The sequence below is a fragment of the Homo sapiens genome, chromosome 10 (assembly GCF_000001405.40).
Source record: "Homo sapiens chromosome 10, GRCh38.p14 Primary Assembly".
Taxonomy (NCBI): domain Eukaryota; kingdom Metazoa; phylum Chordata; class Mammalia; order Primates; family Hominidae; genus Homo; species Homo sapiens.
The window spans coordinates 14988051-15010397 of NC_000010.11; the positions used below are offsets into that span (position 1 = coordinate 14988051).

A 22347-nucleotide genomic window follows, 5' to 3' on the forward strand; every position below is an offset into this window, starting at 1 on the left:
TGGGAGCTGTGTTTCCAAATGAATTGAATCTCTAACTCTTGGCCCAGCACCATGGCTCACAACTGTAATCCCAGCACTTTGGGTGGCCGAGTCTGATGGATCACCTGAGATCACGAGTTCCAGACCAGCCTGGCCAACGTGGTGAAACCCCGTTTCGAGTGAAAATAAAAAAAATTTAGCCAGGCGTGGTGGCGGGTAACCCCAGCTACTCGGGAGGCTGAAGCAGGAGAATCCCTTAGAACATGGAAGGCAGAGATTGGACAACATGTGATAGGATTTTTGATATCCTAGGGAGATATTGCTCCTGACAGTAGAGTGGGCGTACACCCTGTGATATTATTTGTAATATCCTAGAAAGATATTGCTCCTAATATCACGGTGGCTCTACACCCTGTGATATTAATTGTAATATCCTACAGAGATATTACTCCTAATAATACAGTGGACGTACAACCTGTGATATTATTCATAATATATTACAGAGATACGACTCCTGATATCACAGTGAGTGTACACCATGTTTGTACACCCTGTGATCTTATTTGTAACAACTTTGAAAAATATTACAGCTAATATCAAAGTGGGTGTACACCCTGCGATGTTATTTGTTATCTACTAGGTAGATATTACTCCTAATATCACAGTGAGTGTACACCATGTGTGTACAGACTGTGAAATTATTTGTAATACCCTAGGAAGATATTACTCCTCATATCACAGTGGGTGTACACTGTGAGTGATTTTTTTTCTATTATCCAGCGGGGGAGAGGATGATATTGCTTCCCATATCACAGAAGGTGTACACCCCCCTGTGATATTGTTCCTAATATCCAGGGAAGGAGAGGATGACATTATTCGTAATATCACTGGGGGTGTACCACCTCCCGCCGGGATATTGTTCTTAATATCCGGAGGTGGAGAGAATGATGTTACTCCCAATATAACAGGGGGTGTACACCACCCCTGTTTGTAAACGCCCCCTGTGATATTGTTCCAAATGGCCTGTGAAAGAGTAAACATGACTCCCATTATCGCGGGGGGTGTTCAGCCCTGATGATATTGTTTTCTAACATCCAGGGAAGGAGAGTATGTTATTACTCTCAATATCACAGGGGTTGTACAACCTTTTGTGTTTTTGTGCCCAATATCCGGGAAAATAGAGGATGATATTACTCCCAATATCGAAGTAATTGTACAGTACCCCTGTGATATTCTTCCTAATATCCAGAAAGGAAAAGAATGATGTTACTCCCAACAGCGTAGGAAACGTATACCCGCGCTGTGCTATCTTTCCCAGTATCCAGGTGGGGAGAGGATCATATTACTTCCAATGTCGCAGGGTGTGTACACCCCCTCTGTGATCTCGTTGCTAACATCCAGGTTTGGGGAGGATGACATTACTGCCAATATCGCAGGGGAAGCACACTCCCCCGTGACCTTGTTAGTCATTTCCTGGGTGGAGAGGATGATCTTACTCCCAATATCGCAGGGGGTGTACACACCCTTGTGAAAATCTTCCTATATTCAGAGGGAGAGAGGATGATATTACTCCCAGTACCGCAGGGGGTTTCCACAGCTCTGTGATACTCTTCCTAATATCCACAGGGAGAGAGGATGATATGACTCCCAATATCGCAGGGGGTGTACGCAACTCTGTGATATTGTTCCTAACATCCAGAGTGAAAGAGGATGATATGACTCTCAATATCGCAGAGGGTGTACACCCCTCCTGTAATATTGTTCTGAATACCCTGGGAGGGAGGGGATAAGGTTACGTTGAATAACGCAGGGAATGTACACACTCCCCCTCTGATACCCTTCCTAATGTCCAGGGGAAGAGAGGAAAACTTCACTCCCAATATCACAGAGGCAGTACACCCCACCTGTGATGTTGTTCCCAATATGCAAGGGGGGACAGGATGATACTACTCTCAATATCACAGGGCTGTTCACATCCCCAGTGACATTTTTTCCTAATATCTAGGGGACAGACAATTCTATGACCGCAAAGGTTGCAGAGTCTGTACATCCCTTCCTGATATTGTTCCTAATATCCAGGGGGGAAGAGGATGATATCAAATATGAAAGGGGGTGTACATCCCCCACCCCTACGATGTTGTTCTTAATAATCATGAGGGGAGACGATGATATTACTCCAAATATCGCAGGGATTGTTCACAACCCCCTGTGATATTGTTTCTGATATCCAGGGGGGGGAGAAAATCATATTACTGCCAATATTGTAGGTGGTGTATACCCCACCTGAAATATGGCACCGAATATCCAAAGAGGGAGAGGATGGTATTCATACCAATATCGAAGTGTGTGTACACGCCCCTTGTGATATGGTTTTTAATATCCAGTGGGCGGGAGGATGATATTAGTCCCAACATCCCAGAGGCTGTACACTACCCCTGTGATATTGTCCCTAACTTCCAGAGGGGAGAGGGTGGTATCACTCCCAGTATCTCAGAAGTTGTACATCCCCCGTGATATTGTTCGTCATATCCAGGCAGGCGCAGGATGACATTCCATTGAATTTCGCGACAGGCGTACACGCACAGTGTGATATTGTTCCTAATATCCAAGAAGGGAGAGGATGATATTACTCCCAATAAAGCAGTGGGTGTACATCACCCCTGTGTTATTGTCTCTAATGTCCGGGGCCGGGGGAGGGGGGCAGAGGATAATATTCCCTCAAATTTAGCAGGTGGTTTGACGCCCCTTGTGGTGTTGTTTTACATATCCAGCGGGAAAGACAATAGTACTGTTTTTGAAAGTCCGATTCATCCGCTCCACCTTTCCGGAACTCTGAGGCCGGTAGGCGGCATGCAGTTTCCATGTGATCCCCAATACCTTTGCCGTCTTCTGTACCAAGGCAGCCAAAAACACAGGCCCGTTGTCTGAGCCGATCCGTAAGGGCGGTCGAAATCTAGGAATCACATCTCGAAGAAGCACAGGGGTTACTTCATGAGCTTTCTCAGTTCATGTTGGATAGGCCTCCACCCACCCAGAGCAGGTACGCCCAAGAACTAGTACATACTTGTTACCTCCACACTTGGGCGTCTCTGTGAAGTCCACCTGGAGACCTTCAAAGGGGGCTGCTCCATAAGCTCGTATGCCGGGCGGAACGGCTGCACCTTGCCCCGCATCATGCTGTCGGCAGGTAACACACCGCTGCCTCACAGTTTTGGCAAGGGCTGACAAAGGCGAGATGTAGAAATACCGGCCTAACAACTTTTCCAGTGACTCCTGACCTCGATGGGTGGTTTCTTGCACAGCCAGTACAACTGCAGCTCCTAGCAGCTGTGGCACAGCTTCTCTCCCATGTGGTAACCGAATCCATCCTTCCTCCATCACTTGTCCTTCCCTCTACCTGGAGACAGTCCTTTTCTTCTTTAGAAGAAGCAGGTCCAAGATCAGGTGCTTGAGGGAGCACTGATGCCCAGAAGGGGGCAGATGCTGCTTTTCGAGCCTCTGAGTCAGCGCCGGAATTCCCCAAACCCAGCAAGGTGGAAGCTCGCTGGTGTCCTCTGCAATGCTTAACTGCCACCTTGTGGGGTCTCCATACTGCTTCTAATCATTGGAAGATTTCTTGTTGATATTTTCTGTCTTTTCCCCCAGAGTTCAATAGGCCCTTTTCTTTCTATCACGCTACATGCACTTGAAGGGTTAAAAAGACATACCGAGAATCAGTGTAAATGTTGACAGTCTCACCCTCACTGAGTTCTAAGGCCCGAATGAAAGCAATGAGTTCAGCTTTCTGGGCTGAAGTGGCCTGGGGCAATGATCTGGCTTCAACAACAGTGCCCAGGGTTATCACTGCATACCCTGCACCTCTCTCTCCTTGGGGGTTGAAGAAGCTGCTCCCATCCACATATCGTTCCCAGTCTACTGATGCCCAAGGCTGGTCCCGGAAGTCAGGTCTGCTAGAGTCAATTGAGTCCAACACTTCTACACAATCAGGCTCGACAGGGCTCTCTGATACCTGCAGCAAGGTGGCGGGGTGTAGGGTGTTACAAACTTCAATGGTTATATGGGGACTTTCACAGAGCAAAGTTTCGTCCTTGGTGAGTCTGGCTTTCGTTAGCCAATGATGTCCTTTAGTGTTCATTAAAGTCACCACAGCACGGGAGGCCTTTATGTTCAAGTTTTGCCCAAGAGTCAGCTTATTTGCTTCTTGTACTGGCAGGGCAGTTGCTGCCAAGGCCTTCCAACAGGGGGGCCATCCTTTAGAAACCCCGTCTAGTTGTTGAGAGAGGTAGGCCACCGGCCTCGGCCAGGGACCCACAGTTTAGGATCAAAGTCCAGCTGCCATCTTTTCTCTCTCTGATGCATACAATGGAAAAGGCTTTGTCAGATCGGGTAGCCCCAGGGCTGGGGCAGCCAGAAGTTTTTCCTTTAACTCATGAAAGACTTGCTGTTGTTGGGATCCGCATTCCAAAAGTTCCCGGTCCCCGCCCCCTTGGTAACCTCATACAAAGGCTGGCTAATTCTGCAAACTTTGGGATCCACAGTCTACAAAAGCCCACAGCTCCTAAGAATTCTCTTACCTACCTTCTGCCCTTAGGCTCCGCTAGATGGCAAATGATCTGCTTTCTTTCTGATCCCAGGTTGCGTTCCGACCCCTGTCGGATAGTCAATCCCAAGTAACCTACCTGCTGTCGGCAGATCTGAGCTTTCTTCTTGGACACCTTTTACCCACAGTCCTCCAGGTGCCGGTGTAGGGCATCTATTCCCTTGGCACACCCGACTGCCGTGGGGTGTCCCAGCAGAAGGTCATCAACCTACTGGAGCAACACGCAGCCTAGGTCTCTGCTGGGAAACTTCTGGAGGTCTCGAGCCCACGCGTCCCCGAGGATGGTGGGGAAGTTCTTGAACTCATGGGGGAGACCGGTCCAAGTGTACTGAGTAGTGACACCTGACTCCGGATCTGCCCACTGAAAGGCAAACAGCTTCTGCCTCTCAGGGGCTAATCTGATAGCAAAGAAAACGTCTTTCAGGTCCAAGCAGGTGAACCAGCTGTCCTCAGCTGGCGGCAACCCCAACAATGTGGACGGGTTAGGTACTGTTGGATGGAAAGTCAGTGTAGCTTGATGAAGCAAGCGCAAATCCTGTACCAGCTGGTAGTCCTTGGTCCGTGGCTTGGGAACAGGCAGGAGGGGAGTGTTCCATGGAGACTGACAAGGAACAATCATTCCAAAAGTTCTTAGGTGCTTGAGACGGACCTGGATACCTTGAAGGGCTTCTCTGGGGACCGGCTCCTGTTTTTGCCTCACCGGCTGGGCCCCAGTATTAACTGGCAAATCCCGGAGGGTTGTCTTCTGCCCGTACTCTTGGCCACCGCTTAGCCAGTGCTGGTCTTCTCTCTTGGCTCGGCTCCGTTCAGAAAAGTCTCCATTCCTCCTCTTGGGGGACCATAAGGGTCATAATGACTCCCGTTCTGGGTAATCTTAGCAACGAAGAGCCATGCTCTGTCAAACAGATAGTGGTTCTCAGCTTGCTGAGCAAGTCCCTTCGCGAAAAGGTCAAGGGACAGTCAGGCATGTACCAAAACTGATGAATGACTTTATGTCCTCCTACAGTACAAGTCCGAGGCGAGCAGAAAGCTTGCTTTGCGGAAACCCCCGTGGCTCCGATGACGTCAACAGTCTTTTTGGATAAGGGGGCGACCGGGGCAGTTACTAGCGAATGTTCAGCACCGCTATCTACAAGAAAGTCAATGTCTCCACCCCCGATTGTCATTCTGACCAGAGGCTCTTTGGGGACGCTTGAGCCCGGTCTCCCTCAGTCCAATAACCCTTCTGCCAGGTTGAGCAGGGCCCCTTCCTCCTTTTCCGGGGCCTCCTGCTCTGAGTCACCTTGTTTTCTTTTGAGCTCAGGGCATTTTTTCTTCCACTGTCCTATTTCTTTACAATGAGCACACTGGTTACGCTGCAAACTCTGACAGCCAAGCTGAGTTTCTTTCCCAGGGCCCCCCTTCCCTTGCCTCTTTGCGGGGGCCCCTCTGATTGCTGCAGCTGACAAACAGGTAGGCGTGTCGCCGGGCCTGACCTCCATTCTCTTTGCCGTTTTCCTTACGGCTTACTGCATCCCTGTTTACAAACACCTGGCTAGATATTTCTAGTAATTGGGATGGATTCATCCCTTCAAGCCCAGCCTGTTTGTCTAGTTTTCTTTTCATGTCTTCTGCACTTTGACGGACTAAAGCCATGTGAATCACGCGCTGATTTCAGGGCTATCGGGATCAAAGGGAGTATACCTACGATAGGCCTCCCACAGTCTCTCGTAGAATTGTGCTGGACTTTCTTCTTTTCCCTGAATGACCTCAGAGAGCTTGTTAACGTTTGTGGCCTTCTGAGCTCCCCTCATTAATCCTTCCAAGAGAGCTTCCTTGTGTCGGTTTAGCCTTTGCATATCCTCTCTTCCATGTGGGTCCAACTGGGGGTCGGTTCCTGGCAACTGGGTCCTTCCATACTCTTGGGGATTTTGATAATCAGCTGGTGCATGTTCCTCTAGCCACTTAGTTGCTGCTTGGAGGACTCTCCGCCTTTCTTCGCTGTTAAAGAGGAACATGAGCAACTGGTGCCAATCAGCCCAGGTGTGGTTTTGGGTCTGGATAACAGCTTGGAGCAAATCAATTAGGGCTTGTGGCTTTTGGGTAGAGGGCGGTGTATTGTTTTTCCAGTTGAGAAGGTCGACGCAGGTGAAGGGCTGGTACCCAAAAACACGCCTCTCCACCACGTGACCATCCTCATCTATCCCAGTCTACCGCTGCTCTCTCAGGGGCATTTGTGTCCCCGTTTAGGGTCCTAAACGAGCTGCCGAGGGAGGGGTGCAATGAAGCAATGCGACTTACCGCAATTAATAATCTCAATTATTAATTGACACTGATAATTATCAATATTAAAAACCCATAATATAATTTTTAAAATCAATACCGATAATAATCATAACTAATATTAAATAGTTATACTAACGATAACAATACATGATTAATATTAATGATTAATGACGCCTGCTACTAATAACTGATATTGATCTTATTCATTAGAAAACGGTAATATTAGCTCCTAATAATTGATATTAATATTAATAATCTGAAAACATTTTATTAGCAATTATTTCTTAATATTAATATTAATATCGGTCATTCATATTCATGTTAATAATAAATGAGGAATAATTCATACTAATATTACGCCCTAATACCTCAGTGGGTGTACACCCACCTGCGATATTGCTCCTAATGTCCAGAGAGGGAGAGAGCATGATATTACGTTCAAAATCGCAGTAGGTGTACACCCAGCCGGTGATATTGATCTGAATATAATCTGCGGGGGTGGAGTATGACGTTACATTCAATATAGCACTGTGTGTGCATCCACCAGGTGACTTTGCTCCTAATATTCACGGAAGAAGAGAATGCTATTACTCCCAACATCGCAGGAAGTGTACACCCCCGTGTGAGATGGTCCTTAAAAATATTCCAAGGTAGAGGGGGTGATATGACTACATATATGGCAAAGAGTGGACACCCCCAAGGATATTGTTCGCATGATCCCGGAGGGAAGAGGATAATATTACTTTCAATATCACAGAAGGTGGACAAGCCCCCAATGATATTGTTTCTAATTTCAACGTGGGAGAGGAGGACATGACACCCGATATCCAAGGGAGTAGAAACACCCCTGTGATACTGTTCCAAATATTCAGGGAGGAAGAGGATGATATGACTCCCAATGCACACGAGTGTACAACTTCTGTACACCCTCGGTGTACACAGGTCTGTGAAACAGTTCATAATGTGCAGAGGGGAAGATGATATTACTCACAATATGATAAACAGGCTGTGAGTCCACCGCGGATCCTAAGAGCCAGGGGGGCAAGAGGGGCTGGCTCTTTACTCCCCGCATCGCGGGGGGCGCCTCGCCCCCCTGCGATGGGGGTCGTCATACCCCGGAGTCGAGAGGGTGGTGATATGACTCCTCGTATCGCGGAGTGCGCCCGCCCCCCTGCAATGTGGATCGTCATATCCAGGGTGGGAGATTGGGGTGATATTACTCCCCGCAAGGAGGGGGGCGTCGGCCCCCCTGCGATGTGGTTCGTCATATCCGGTGGGGAGTGGGGGTTGATATTACTCCCCTTATGTGGGCGGGCGCCCGCCCCTCGGCGATGTGGATCTTCATATCCAGGGTTGGAGTGGGGGATGATTTTACTCCCCGAATCGCGTGGGCTCCCGCCCCCATGAGTCGTGGATCGTAATATCCACGGGGGATGGGCGGGTGATATTACTCCCCGCATCGCTGGTCGCCCGCGCCCCTGCGATGTGGCTCGGAATATCTAGGCGGAGAGTGGGGTGCGATATTACTCCCCGCATCTCGGTGGCCCACCGCCCTCCTGCGATGTGGATCGTAATATCCAGCGGGGAGAGCGGGGTGATATTACTCCCTGATTTTTCCTGGGATCCTTTCTATGCTGCCACCCTCGGTTCACTCCCTGGGACATTATCTTCCATATTCTAGCAAGATGCGGCTGATAAAGTCGCAGGGGTATACACCCTTCAATATTATTCGTAATTTTGTAGGGGAATGTTAGACCTGATGTCACAGGACTCTGTACACTGTGATGTTATTCCCAATATTCTAGCTTTACCTTAATCATAATGTCACATTGTGTGTACACCTTGTGGTGTTATTCTTATTCTCCTAAAGGGAGGTTGCATTTATTGTCACACGGGGTATGTTCCTTTTGATATTATCCATAATGTCCTAGAGGGATGTCACCCCTTATGTCACAGGGTTTGTACGCCTTGTCCAATTACTCTTATTATCCTCATAAGATGTCACTCCTCATATCACAGAGGGTGTACACTCTGTGATATTTTTGTCATATTCTAGGGAAATGTTACTTTTAATGTCACAGAGGGTGCACACCTTGTGAAACTATTCTTTATAATTTTGTGGGGTGTTACCCCTAACGTCACACGGCGTGTTCACACAGTGATGCTACGTGCAATATGCTATGGAAATGCTGCTCGTAATTCACAGGTCCTGTACACCCTTTCATATTCTTCGTAATCTAGGAAAACGTTACTGCTAATGTCACAGGGCGTGTAGATCCTGTTATCAAATTCCTAATATCCTAGCGGGAGTTCACTACTCATTTCTCAATGCGTGTACACCCTTTGATATTATTCATATTGTCTTGAAGAGATGTTACTACTGATGTCCCAATGCGGGTACATTCTCTGATCTTATTCGTTATATCCTCGGGGGATGTTACTTCTAATGTCACACGGGGTGTACTCCCTGTGTTCTATTTCATAATATCCTAGGGCAATTTGACTTTTAATGACACATGGGGTGTACACATTGTGATATTATTTGTGATATTCTAGAAAGATATTACTCCTAATGTCACAGGGCTGTACAGCCTGTGATAGTATTCATAATTTCCCAGGGGTCTATACTCCTATTGGCACAGACGATAACACCCTGTGACATTATTTGTAATATTCTAGCGAGATGATACTCCTCATGTCACAGGTGGTGTACACCCCGTGTTAGTATTCTTACTATTCTAGGGGGATGTTACTCCTAACATCACAGGGAGGTACACCCTGTGATATTACTCATAGTGTACCAGAGGGATATTAGCACTCATGTCACGATGCATGTACACTTTGTTATATTATTTGTCATATCCTAATGTCACAGGAGGTGTGTTCTGTGTGATATTCTTCCTAACATCCTAGACGGATGTTGCTCCTAACGTCACAGGGTGTGTACATCTTGTCAAATCATTCACAATATCCTAAAACTATGTTATTCCTCAGGTCACAGGGGGTGTTCACCCTGTGATATTTTTCATCATAGCTTTGTGGGATGTTACTCCTAAAGTCACATGGGGTGTACACAGAGTCACACAGTGATATGAGTTGTAACATTCTATAGACATGTTACTCGTAAATCACAGGGGCTGTACCTCCTTTGATATTATTCATAGTATTCTAGGGGAATGTTGATACTATTGTCACGGAGGTGTACACCCTGTGATGTGACTCGTCATCCCAGCGGGATGTTACTACTAATGTCACAATGCCTGTACACCCTGTGATACTATTTGTAATATCCTAAAGAGATGTTACTACTAAGGTCACAGTGCATGTACACCCTCTGATATTATTCGTTATATCCTTTGGGGGTGTTACTCCTCATGTCACATGGGGTGTACTCCCTGTCATATTATTCGTAATATCCAAGGGGGATGTTATTTTTAATGTCACCGGGGGTGACATTACGCATTAAAAATGCGTATTCAACCCCAGTGATACTATTCCTAATATCCTAGGGGCATGCTCTTCCGAATGTCACATGGGGTGTACACCATGTGTGTACACCTGCTGTGATATTATTCGTAATATCCTAGGGAATTGTTACTCCTGATGACACAGGTGGTGTACACCTTGTGTGTACCCCTCCTGTTTTATTATTCATAATATCCTAGGGGGATGTTTCTTTTAATGTCACAAAGAGTGTACAAAACGTCACAGGAGGTGTACACGTTGTGGCGTGATCTGCAATACCCTAGAAGAATGTTACTCCTAATAAGTCACAGGCTTGTACAAGCTTTGATGTTATTTATAATCTCATAGAGAGATATTACTTCAAATATCACAGTGGATGTACACACATAGTGTATACCCTGTGACAGTATTCATAATATCCTAGGGAGATACAACTCCTGATATCACAGTGCGTGTACCCCTGGTGTGTACACCCTTGATGTTAGTCGTAATATCCAGGGTAAATATTACTCCTCATATCACACAGTGTGCACACCCTGTGATATTTTTCATCGTACTTTAGGGAGATATTGCTTCTAATATCACAGTGGGTGTACCCCATGTGTGTATACTCTGTGACAGTATATTCTATATCCTAGGGAGGTATTACTCCTAATATCACAGTGGGTGTTCACCCTGTGACTTCATTCTTATTTGACCTTGCTGCCTTTTTTAACCCACACTACAAAAGGAATGGAACAAATAAGAAGATATTGAGATGAGATCGTGCTGCCATGTGGCCGCTGCAGGACACTTTTCATATCCCTGTTTCTCAGGCTGTAGATGAAGGGGTTCGGCATGGGGATGACCACCGTGTACATCACTGAGGCCACTGCAGCCTTTCTCGGGGAAGATGACACATCTGAACCGAGGTAGCCTCCAATGCCTGTTCCATAAAATCAGCAAACAACTGACAGGTGAGACCCACAGGTGGAGAAGGCCTTATACTTCCCACCTGATGATGAAACCCTTAGAATGGAGAAAACAATTTTATTGTAAGAGAAAAGGGTCCCCGAGATGGGAAGAAAACCAAATATGGCGGCAGGGAAATACATGATTATGTTATTGGTGAAGGTGCCACAATATGCAAGATGGGGAGTTGAGAAGGGTCACAGAAGAAATTAGGAATTTCCACATCCTTGAAGCAGGTCCTTTGTAAGGCAATCAAGTTGTGCAGCTGGGCGTCTAAAAGACTGAGAAAAAAAAAAGACAACAAAACTAGAAAGCCACAGAAACATGGGTTCATGATGGCTGAATGATATAGAGGGTGACAGATGGCTACAAACCGCTCATAGGCTATCACACTCAGGAGCATGTCTCTCTTCCATGCCTCCAAAAATGGCAAAGAGAGACATCTGAGTCAGGCAGCCTGCGTAGGAGATGACTCTGCTGTGAGACTGGATGTCCACAATCATCTTGGGGACCGTGGTGGAGGTGAAACCGATGTCAGGCAGGGACAGGTTGGAGAGGAAGAAGTACATGGGGATGTGGAGGTGGGAGTCAGGGCTGACGGCCAGGATGATGAGCAGGTTCCCCAGCACCGTGACCAGGCACATGGACAGGCACAGCCCAGTGAGGACCGGCTGCCATTCTGGATCCTCTGAGCTTCTAGGAGGAGGAATATAGAGACATCTGTTAGATTCTGTGGGTCTGTAGAGATTGGACAACTTTTGCCTAGAAAAGAGGGTTGAGAAATCGGAAACAAGTAAACCGACACCCAGCATCGTGTCTGCATTTTGGATAGAAGCAATTCACAAGTCATGTTTTCAGATTTCAGAGCAATCCACACTCAGCAATAGTTTGCACTTCTGACAATCTCAATTGTCTTCTAATGCTTTCATCATTGATTTCTGTGTGATTCACTTCTTGTTGTACACACCTGCCTCAGAGACACTAGATTCAAGAATGTTCCAAGAACGAGATCATCCTATATAACAAATTCGTCATTGCTAGAAAATACAGCCTATCTTTACCGACGGAAACTATGTAATCAAACCATTCTCTTCACTTTAAGAAAAAGGTTATCCTAATTAAAGGAAATTAAGAACTCAAATATTTTATTTTATTCGAATAGACTGATACAAATTCCCTTGATTTAGAACATCTGTAAACACCGTATAACTGCTGAGACCATGCCATCTGGAAATGAAATTAAAGTTGATAGTTCATAAGCAGAGAATAGTTCCACAGGCCGGTTGGATCCTATTGATTTCATCATTCTGTTTTCTGACTTTTCACCTTCAAGAGAGGAATTGCTTCCTCAAATCTGTGGGTCTTGTTTTAAAATTCATGGAAGCTGTAACTCCTGTCCTTAGCTTTGGTGGACTTAGCGTTTTCATCAGAACGTTTGGCCGGACGCGGTGGCTCACGCCTGTGATCCCAGCACTTTGGGAGGCCGAGGAGGGCGGATCACGAGGTCAGGAGATCAAGACCATCCGGGCCAACATGGTGAAACCCCGCCTCTACTGAAAATACAAAAACTTCGCCCAGCATGGCGGTGCGTGCCTGTAGTCCCAGCTTCTCGGGAGGCTGAGGCAGGAGAATGGCTTGAACCTGGGAGGCAGAGGCTACAGTGAGCCCAGATCACACCACTGCACTCCAGCCTGGGCAAAAAGAGCAAAACTCTGTCTCGAAAAACAATTTAAAAAAAGTACACGCTCTGTCACACTGACGTCACACTGATGACAGCCAATTTTTGTGAACCAAGGAAGTGTCAATTCAATAATTCACATAGATGTTGACTTTGGCTATCTCCTATGTGCCAAGCGAGATATAGGCTCTGGGGAATCAGAAACAAAAGAGACTCACTTGTTCCTCTCACAATACTCAGGACTTACTGAGATAAGGACAAAAGAAAATGTCCTGTCTGGAATGCAGGGAAACCAGAACTTCAGGTCAGGGGATATTTCCGTTGAACCGTATGGAGTTTAAGCTGAAAATATTAACGAATGTATCTAAAATTCACTTTGCCTTGACTTTACGCATCCATCACACAGAGATCACGCAGCGGGCACCCACGATCGGTTTCATCGTCGCTCACTTCCATTGGATCAACTAGAAATCAACTCAGATGAGAGTGCTGAGTCTCAGAAGATGGACGTCTCACCCCTTGCCATACAGATAAGTAGAAAGGGCGGTATTGAAAATTAATGGCCAGACTCTAACTCCTGCATACCATACTTGATGGTCTCCAAACTCTCAAAAAGTTGTGGGGTTTTTTTGTTTTTGTTCTTGTTTTTTTTTTTTTTTTTTTTTTTTTGAGACGCAGTCTCTTTCTCTTGCCCAGGCTGGAGTCCAGTGGAGTGATCTTGGCTCACTGCAACCTCCGCATCCCAGGTTCAAGCTATTCTCTTGCCTCAGCCTGCCGAATAGCTGAGATTACAGGCACCCACCACTACACCCAGCTCATTTTGTTCTCTTTTTAGGAGAGACGGGGTTTCACCATGTTGGCCAGGCTGGTCTCGAACACCTGATCTTGTGATTCACCTACCTCAGACTCCCAAAGTGCTGGGATTACAGGCGTGAGCCACCGCGCCCAGCTTCCAAAAGTTTTCAACAGAGCTCAGAGGTCTTAACCACAGGCACATCTGAGGAGCATTTCTGAAATGGTTTCCAGCTTCCTCAATAGGAATGGAAGCCAAACCCTGAATTGATGACTCCTTGGAGGAAGTCGAGAGCTGTAAGGAAAGCCAGGAACAGGGGCAAGGGAGCGATGCATCCCAAATGATCCTGTGCCAATTCTTTCTGGAATCTTTGATGTGATCTCAGCTGCCCTTTCCATACTTGACACAGTGATTGCGGCACCCACTGGTCTAGCTGTGGTCTACAAGGAACCCCCAAAGGGAAGGGCACAGTGAGCAGGGGCATCGGCCTGACTGACAAGGATTGGAGGGGGCAGGTTGGATGCAGGGTGAGGAATGGCCAAATGTCATGTGTCTGGCCTTAGACTGCCTGGTTCAGATTGGGCTTCACCCTTTTTGACTTCATGATCTGGTACAAGTTATATGAAAATGTGTTGCTCCTTTTCTAGTCTGTAAAATAATCATGAAATGTGCACTAATAACTGGGAGACTACACAGATGAAATGAAACAAGTAGCATAGACCACAGAGCTCAGAGCCTGCCTTTAGGAAGCCCTCAGTAAGGGTTCATGATGCCGTGGTGTCTGTCATCATCCTCTTTATCCTCATCATCACCTTCATCATCTTTTTGTTGTTCTCAGGGAACAGTTTAGAGAGGGACTCATTCCCTGCTTGCATGGGTGAGATGTCTATGAAAAGGACAACCAGTGGGGGAGGGAAGCACAATTTTGAAGAAGATTCCTGAGAGAGACCCCCCACCACAACCAAGAACAGAAACTCCACAGTCTGCTGAGCTGACAGTTTGCACATTGGTCTCCTCCCATCTGGCCATGGCACTCTCCCGTTTGTCCTGAGGATGAGGAAACAAACAAGGCTCCCGACCGTCCCTCAGCACTCACTGAACTGCCCTTCTCCTGTGCTGGGCCATGACCACGGAGAACAGGTCCACTGTCTTCCCTGCGTGGTACACAGGGGAGGCTCAGACTCCATCCTCAAGGATGACAAGAAGACAGGCCAAGACATGAGCCTCAGGATACAGGTGATGGGTGTGGAGCCCACAGGACTGCAGCCTCACACTGCAGGGCTGGAGGCACAGACTGAGTATTTACTATTCTATGGCCTGGGGGGCTCAAGGCATAGAGCTCCTTATTAGCCGAAGTCGCCCAAGTTCCCCAACCTCTAAAGATTTCCTCATAATCATGCAAGAAGAAGAAGGGAAAAGTGAGTGTCCATAGAAGTTTTGGGGCTCTTCCTCTAATCAGGAGAGAGCTTGTGTAAAATTCTTCGCCTCTTTCTTTTCTTTTTCAAGATCCAAGTGCTTTAATTTTCATATTTTATTATGGGAAAATATACCACGTATAAATCCTAAAAATTATAAATATAGATTATTGCATATAGAATGGCCAGTATGAACATTCACAATTTCCACTAGTTTTCAGTTTAGAGTTTAATCACATTAGGTACATTCACATTGTTTAGCAACCATCACTGCCATCATCTCCAGAACAGTTTTAGCTTTCAAAATGGAAATTGCACCCATTAAGCAAACTCTCCATTCCTCTCTCTCACCCACCCCTGGGGGCCACCATTCTATTTTGCAACTCTATGAGTTTAACTACTCTAGACACTTGACAGAAGGGGAATGATACCGTGTTTCATTTTCTTTGTTTCTTTGTTTTGGAGACAGTCTTTCTCTGTCACCCAGGCTGGAGTGCAGTGGCATGGTCTCGGCTGACTGCAACCTCCACATCGTGGGTCCAAGCGATTCTTGTGTCTCAGTCTCCCATGTAGCTGGGGTTACAGGCGTGCGCCACCACGCCCAGCTAATTTTTGTATTTTTAATAGAAACGAGGTTTCACAATATGGCCAGGCTGGTCTCGAACTCCTGACCTGAAGTGATACGCCTGCCTCGGCCTCTCAAAGTGCTGGGTTTACAGGTGCGAGCCACGGAGGCTGGTCATGTTTATCCTTTTGGGATTTATTTATTTCACTAGCGATAATGTCTTCAAGGTTCATCCATGTTGCAGCCTGTGTCAGAAGTGCCTGCCTGGCTTTTTCGGTTTTTTATTATTTATTTATTTTTTTGGTTGTGTTTTGTTTTGTGTTTACACGGAGTCTCACTCTGTCACACAGGCTGGAGTGCAGTGGCACAATCTGGGCTCACTGCAACCTCCGCCTCCCGGGTTCCAGCGATTCTTGTGCCTCAGCCTCCCGAGTAGCTGGGAGTATAGGCACGCGCCACCACGCTCGTCTAATTTTGTGCATATTCAGTAGAGACAGGGTTTCACCAAGATGGCCAGGCTGGTCTTGAATTCCTGACCTCGGGTGATCCGCCCACCTCGGTCTTCCAAGATGCTGGGATTACAGGCGTGAGCCACCGCACCAGCCAGAAGTGCCTGCATTTTTATGGCTAAATAGTCTTCCGTTGTATGAATGAACTGCACTGTGCTTTTTCATTCATCTGCCCACGAACCCTTGGGTTGCTTCCACATTTTGGCTGTTTTGAGTAACTCTGCTATGAATATGGGTGTACAAATCTCTCTTCCACTCCTGGCTTCTAATTCCTTTTGGTGGGTACCCACAAGTGCAACTGCGGGAACATCTGATCATTCTGTTTCTAATTTTCCAGGACAGGCCATACTATCTTCCCCATTCCTTCATGGTTTTACACTCCCTCCAATCAGATTCGAGCATTCCTACTTCTCTCTAGTTTCACCAAGTCTTGTTCGTTTATCATATCCATCCTAATATGTGGTATCACATTCTTGCTTTGATTTGCGCTTCCCTATGATTAGTGATTTTGAACATCATTTTAGGCGCTTATTGGCCATTGCTATATCTTCTTTCGGGACACGTCTACTCGAGTCTTCTGACCATTGTTAATGGGGTGCTTTGGGTTTCTTGTTGTTTAGTTCTGGCTCTTCTTTATATATGATGGATATTAGCCTCTTTTCAGAGATATGATTTGCAAACCTTTTTCCTAATCCATGGGTTATCTTTTCACTCAGTTCACAGTGTTTGCTGATGCGCAAAAGTGTCTGTCATTTAGATGTCATCCAAGGAATCTAATTTTCTTTTGTTGCCTATGCTTTTGGTGTCATATCCCAGAAAGCACTGCCCAATCTGATGTCATGAAAGTGTGGCCAATGTTTTCTTTGAGGCATATTATTCTTTCAGCACTTGGGGTGAGGTCTTTGATCCAGTTTGTATTCATTTTTGCACCCTCTGTGACATAGGGTCCACCTTCATTCTTCTGCATGTGGAAATCAAGTTTCTCCAACACCATTTCTTGAAAAGGCTGCTTTTCCACCAATGGACTTTCTTAGCACTCATGTTAGAAATCATTTGAACATATAGGGGAGAAGTTATTTCTGGGCTCAAAAACAAACAAACAACAACAGACAACAGATAAGGATGCAGCATGGACCGGGCGCGGTTGCTCACGCCTGTAATCCCAGCACTTTGGGAGGCCGAGGCGGGCAGATCACGTGAGGTCAGGAGTTCAAGACCAGCCTCACAGACACGAAGAAACCCCCCTCTCTACTACAAATACAACATTAGCTGGGCGTGCTGGGGCATGCCTGTAATCCCAGCTGCTCGGGATATGGAGCCAGGAGAATCGCTTGAACCCAGGAGGCAGAGGTTGCGGTGAGCCAAGATTGCACCATTACACTCCAGCCTGGGCAACAAGAGTGAAACTCTGTCTCAAAACAAAACACCAAAAACAAAAAATCCAGCATGATTTCGAGAGCAGAAAGATAATAGCTGAAAATCCAGCATAATGAGAAAGTTAGGAAGCTTCTTATCAAAGCATCTGGAAATATGCAAGAAATTCCTGTGAACTAAAATTTTCATACTGTGCTGTCAAACACTAGAACTCACTTATTCCATCTTTCTGTATTTTGGGACCCAATTATCCACTTCTCTTCATTCCCCATCCCACCCCTTTTCTTCCTAGCATCTGCTAACCACCTTTATACTTTCCACCTTCCTGAGATTCCTTTTGTGTGTAGGTGTGTGATGGAGTCTCTTTCTGTTGCCCAGGTTGGAGTATACAGGCACAATCCGGGCTCACTGCAACCCCCGCCTCCTGAGTTCAAGCGCTTCTTGGGCCTCAGCCCTCCAAGTAGCTGAGACTACAGGCACGTGTCACCACGCCCAGCTAATTGTTTGTGTTTTCAGTAGAGACGGGTTTCACCATGTTGGCCAGGCAGTTCTCCAACTCCTGGCCTCAAGTGATCCGTGTGACTCGGCCTCCCACAGTGCTGGGATTACAGGCCTGAGCCACCACACCTGGCCAAGATTTTCTTTTTTGTTCCTACATAGAAGTGAGGATGTGAAATATTTGTCATTCTGTGCCTGGCTTATTTCACTTAATATACAGACCTGCAATCTCATCCATTTTGTCTGCAATGGAGACGATTTTCTTCCTTTTTAGGCTGAATAATACTTCATTGGGTGTGTATACCACAGTTCCTCAATTGAAACAAATTTCTAAAAAGCAAATATTTTTAACATGTCTCGGAATGTGAAACTTCAGGGATACCATGCCCATTTTATTCTTTTCTATTTCCCATCTTATGTATATGCAAGTGTATAACAAAGCAGCAATCCAAGTGTGTATAAATCTATAATTTCAACAAATGTAAAATGAAAATGCTAAGTGGTGGCTGGGCACGATCGCTCATGCCTGTAATCCCAGAACATTGGGAGGCGGAAGCGGGCAGATCACTTGAGGTCGGGAGTTCAAGACCAGCCTGACCAATATGGAGAAACACTGTCTCTACTAAAAATACCAAAAAAAAAAAAAAAAAAAAAAAAATTAGCCAGGCATGGTAGTGCATGCCTGTAATCCCAGCTACTTGCAAGGCTGAGACAGGAGAATCGCTTGAATAGGGGAGGCAGAGGTTGCAGTGAGCCGAGATCGTGCCATTGCACTCCAGCCTGGGCAACAAGAATGAAACTCTGCCTCAAAAAGAAAAAAAGAAAAAAAAAGAAAAAGAAAAAAATGGAAAATGCTAAATGGTAAGAAACAACAGCATAATAAACATTTGTATGGTGTTGATGGACAATGCATTTGAAGATAATATTTGAAGAAATCATATTACAATTAACTTCTGCTCTTACTCATTGGAGCTTGATGCCTCTAAAAACTTCGTCATTGGAACCACCTCTGGTGCTTTAAAAAAAAAAAAAATCCACATACTCACACAGGTGCAGGGAAATCAGAATCTCAGGTATTGAGACCCAGGCCTCATCATCTGTAAGCTCCCCAGGTGATTTGACTCAAAGCCAAGATTGAGGAACGGCGACATGGATCTCTACACATAACCTGCCTAAATAGATTCTCTAGAAGCAGTTTATAAAGAAATTCCACATGAACTCTGGAAGAGGATATGAATTTGATGTACAGTATGTCCTCACTTAATATCTTTGAAAGTCTCTTGGAAACTTCACCTTTAAGCAAAATTAGGTATAGTGAAACCACTTATTCCTCACCAACATTATAACTACACAACTTTGAACGCACCAATTGTGTTGGAAGACTTGCTGTACATTGTTTCCATCAAGTCAATTTTCAGGGAATTCCAAAATGAAGTGAGGACTTCATGTATATAAAAAGATGGTTGTGATTCCACCTGGATGACAGGGTTATTGCTCAGAAACTAAAGGAGGCCGCCTAGGTATAGAGGATTCTGTCATGAGGTTTCTGCTAAACAAAGGAGCCCAGAATACTCACCCATTCCAGTTAAAGGCATAACGAAGAAAACAATATTCACATAGGAAATGCGGAAAGGAATAAAAGCCATCAAGCCACAAAAATAATGTGACTAAGGGGCAGCATTTGCAGATGTAGGGATTTAATGTGGTTGCCCTTTCTCACCCACACAAAAAAAGGATGGAACAGATCATGAGATTCCACTCTTCTGCTGCGCAGCCTCCACAGGGTGTTTTGAATGTCCCTGTTTCTCAGGCTGTAGATGAAAGGGTTCAGCATGGGGGTGACCACAGCGTACATCACTGACGCCACCACACCATTCCTGGGGGGTGGTGCCACAGCTGAAGTCAGGTACATGCCAATGCCTGTTCCATCAAATAAGCAAACAACTGCTAGGTGAGAGCCACAGGTGGTGAAGGCTTTATACTTCCCATCTGACGATGAAATCCTTAGAATGGAGGGGACAATTTTATAGTAAGACAAAAGGATCCTTGAAATGGGAAGAAAACCAAACATAGTACTATCAAAATATATGAATATGCTATTGATGATGCTGTCAGAACAGGCAAGGTAGAGAAGTTGAGATGGCTCACAGACAAAATTAGAGATTTCCACATTCTTGGAGAAGGTGAATTGTCACACAATCCAACTGTGCAGCTGGGAATCCAACAGGCTAAGGAAAAAGGACACCAAAACGAAGAAGACACAGAGGTGAGGATTTATGATGACTGGGTAGTAAAGAGGGCGACAGATGGCTACAAATCTGTCATAGGCCATCACAGTCAGGAACATGTCTTCTATACATGCAAAAAGGACCAAGAAAGACATCTGTGTCAGGCAGCCCGCATGAGAGATGACTCTGCTATGAGACTGCATGTCCACAGTCATCTTGGGAACTATGGCCAAGGTGAAACCGATGTCAGCCCAGCACAGGTTGGAGAGGAAGAAGTACATGGGGGTGTGGAGGGGGGAGTCAGAGCTGACAGCCAGGGTGCTGAGCAGGTTCCTCAGCACCGTGACCAGATACATGGACAGGGACAGCCCAGCGAGGACCGGCTGCAGTTCTGGATCCTCTGAGAGTCCCAGGAGGAGGAATTCTCAGATACCTGTGAGATTCTGTGGCTCTGTGTGACTTGGACACCTTGGGAAGAAAAGAGGATTGGAAAAAGAAAAGATAAAAACCAGCCCTTAATGCTGTGTGTATATTTTGGATGCAAGCAAATGAAAAGGAACATTTTCACACTTGCGGACCGTACACTGCCAGCGATGTTTCTCAGTTGTGACAAATCCAAAAATCTCAGAATTATTACATGATTTACTTTTTTGCTATTGAACTCTTTCTGTACATACTACTTTAGAGAAAATCCACTAGAGAATGTTAGGAGACCAAAACGTCATATATAACAAATCCGTGATCTCAGTAAAATACGGCCTACTCTTTTCAGAAAAAATACAATGCAATGAAAATGTCCTTCTCTCTTGAAGAAAAAGATCTCAGTCTAATTGAAAGAAATTAAGAAGCTGTGAAATACACTCTGTTTTATTCTGACACCGTGCTACAAATTCCTTTGATGTAGAATATGTAAAAGGACGATACAAGAGCTAGGACCACATTATCTAAAAACGAAATCGAAACTTAGAGTTCTTAATCGGAACACCTTTTCACATGCCAGTTACTTTTCATATTTATTATCATCCTGAGGTTTTCTGACATCATTTCTTCAAAAAAGTACATGCACACTCAAATATGGGAGCTGTGTTTCCAAATGAATTGAATATATAACTCTTGGCCGAGTGCCATGGATCACACCTGTAATCCCAGCACTTTGGGCGGCCAAGGCTGATGGATCACCTGAGGTCAGGAGTTCCAGACCAGCCTGGCCAAGGTGGTGAAACCCCGTCTCCAGTGAAAATAAAAAAAAAAAAATTAGCTGGGCGTGGTGGGGGGTAACCCTAGCTACTCGGGAGGCTGAAGCAGGAGAATCCCTTAGAACCTGGAAGGCAGAGATTGGACACCCTGTGATAGGATTTTTGATATCCTAGGGAGATATTGCTCCTGACAGCAGAGTGGGCGTACACCCTGTGATATTATTTGTAATATCCTAGAAAGATATTGCTCCTAATATCACAGTGACTGTACACCCTGTGATATTAATAGTAATATCCTACAGAGATATTACTCTGAATAATTCAGTGGGTGTACACCCTGTGATATTATTCATAATATATTACAGAGATATGACTCCTGATATCACAGTGAGTGTACACCATGTTTGTACACCCTGTGATCTTATTTGTAACAACTTTGAAAAATATTACAGCTAATATCAAAGTGGGCATACACTCTGCAATGTTATTTGTTATCCACTAGGTAGAAATTACTCCTAATATCACAGTGAGTGTACACCATGTGTGTACAGACTGTGAAATTATTCATAATACCCTAGGAAGATATTACTCCTAATATCACAGTGGGTGTATACCCTTTGATATTATTTGTAATCACCTAGGGAGATACGATTCCTAATATTACAGTGGGTGTACACTCCGTGATGTTATTTGTAATGTCCTAGGAAGATATTACTCCTAATATCAAAGTGGATGTACACCATGAGTGTACACTCTGTGATATAATTCATATTATCCCAGAGAGATATTTCTCCTAATATCACAGTGGGTGTACACTCTGTGATATTCTTT

General features: G+C 45.5%; 2 pseudogenes, besides 2 other annotated features; both read right to left on the minus strand.

Moving 5' to 3' along the window:
* Positions 3606 to 4137: an enhancer, noted in NCBI's record as "H3K27ac hESC enhancer chr10:15033655-15034186 (GRCh37/hg19 assembly coordinates)". NCBI's record gives its function as "activates a minimal SCP1, AML or CMV promoter by ChIP-STARR-seq in naive H9 embryonic stem cells {active_cell/tissue: H9 hESC(naive)}" and the evidence as "EXISTENCE:reporter gene assay evidence [ECO:0000049][PMID:30033119]".
* Positions 4138 to 4668: an enhancer, noted in NCBI's record as "NANOG-H3K27ac hESC enhancer chr10:15034187-15034717 (GRCh37/hg19 assembly coordinates)". NCBI's record gives its function as "activates a minimal SCP1, AML or CMV promoter by ChIP-STARR-seq in naive H9 embryonic stem cells {active_cell/tissue: H9 hESC(naive)}" and the evidence as "EXISTENCE:reporter gene assay evidence [ECO:0000049][PMID:30033119]".
* OR7E26P (olfactory receptor family 7 subfamily E member 26 pseudogene) lies at positions 11149 to 11802 on the minus strand (annotated as a pseudogene).
* OR7E115P (olfactory receptor family 7 subfamily E member 115 pseudogene) lies at positions 19738 to 20676 on the minus strand (annotated as a pseudogene).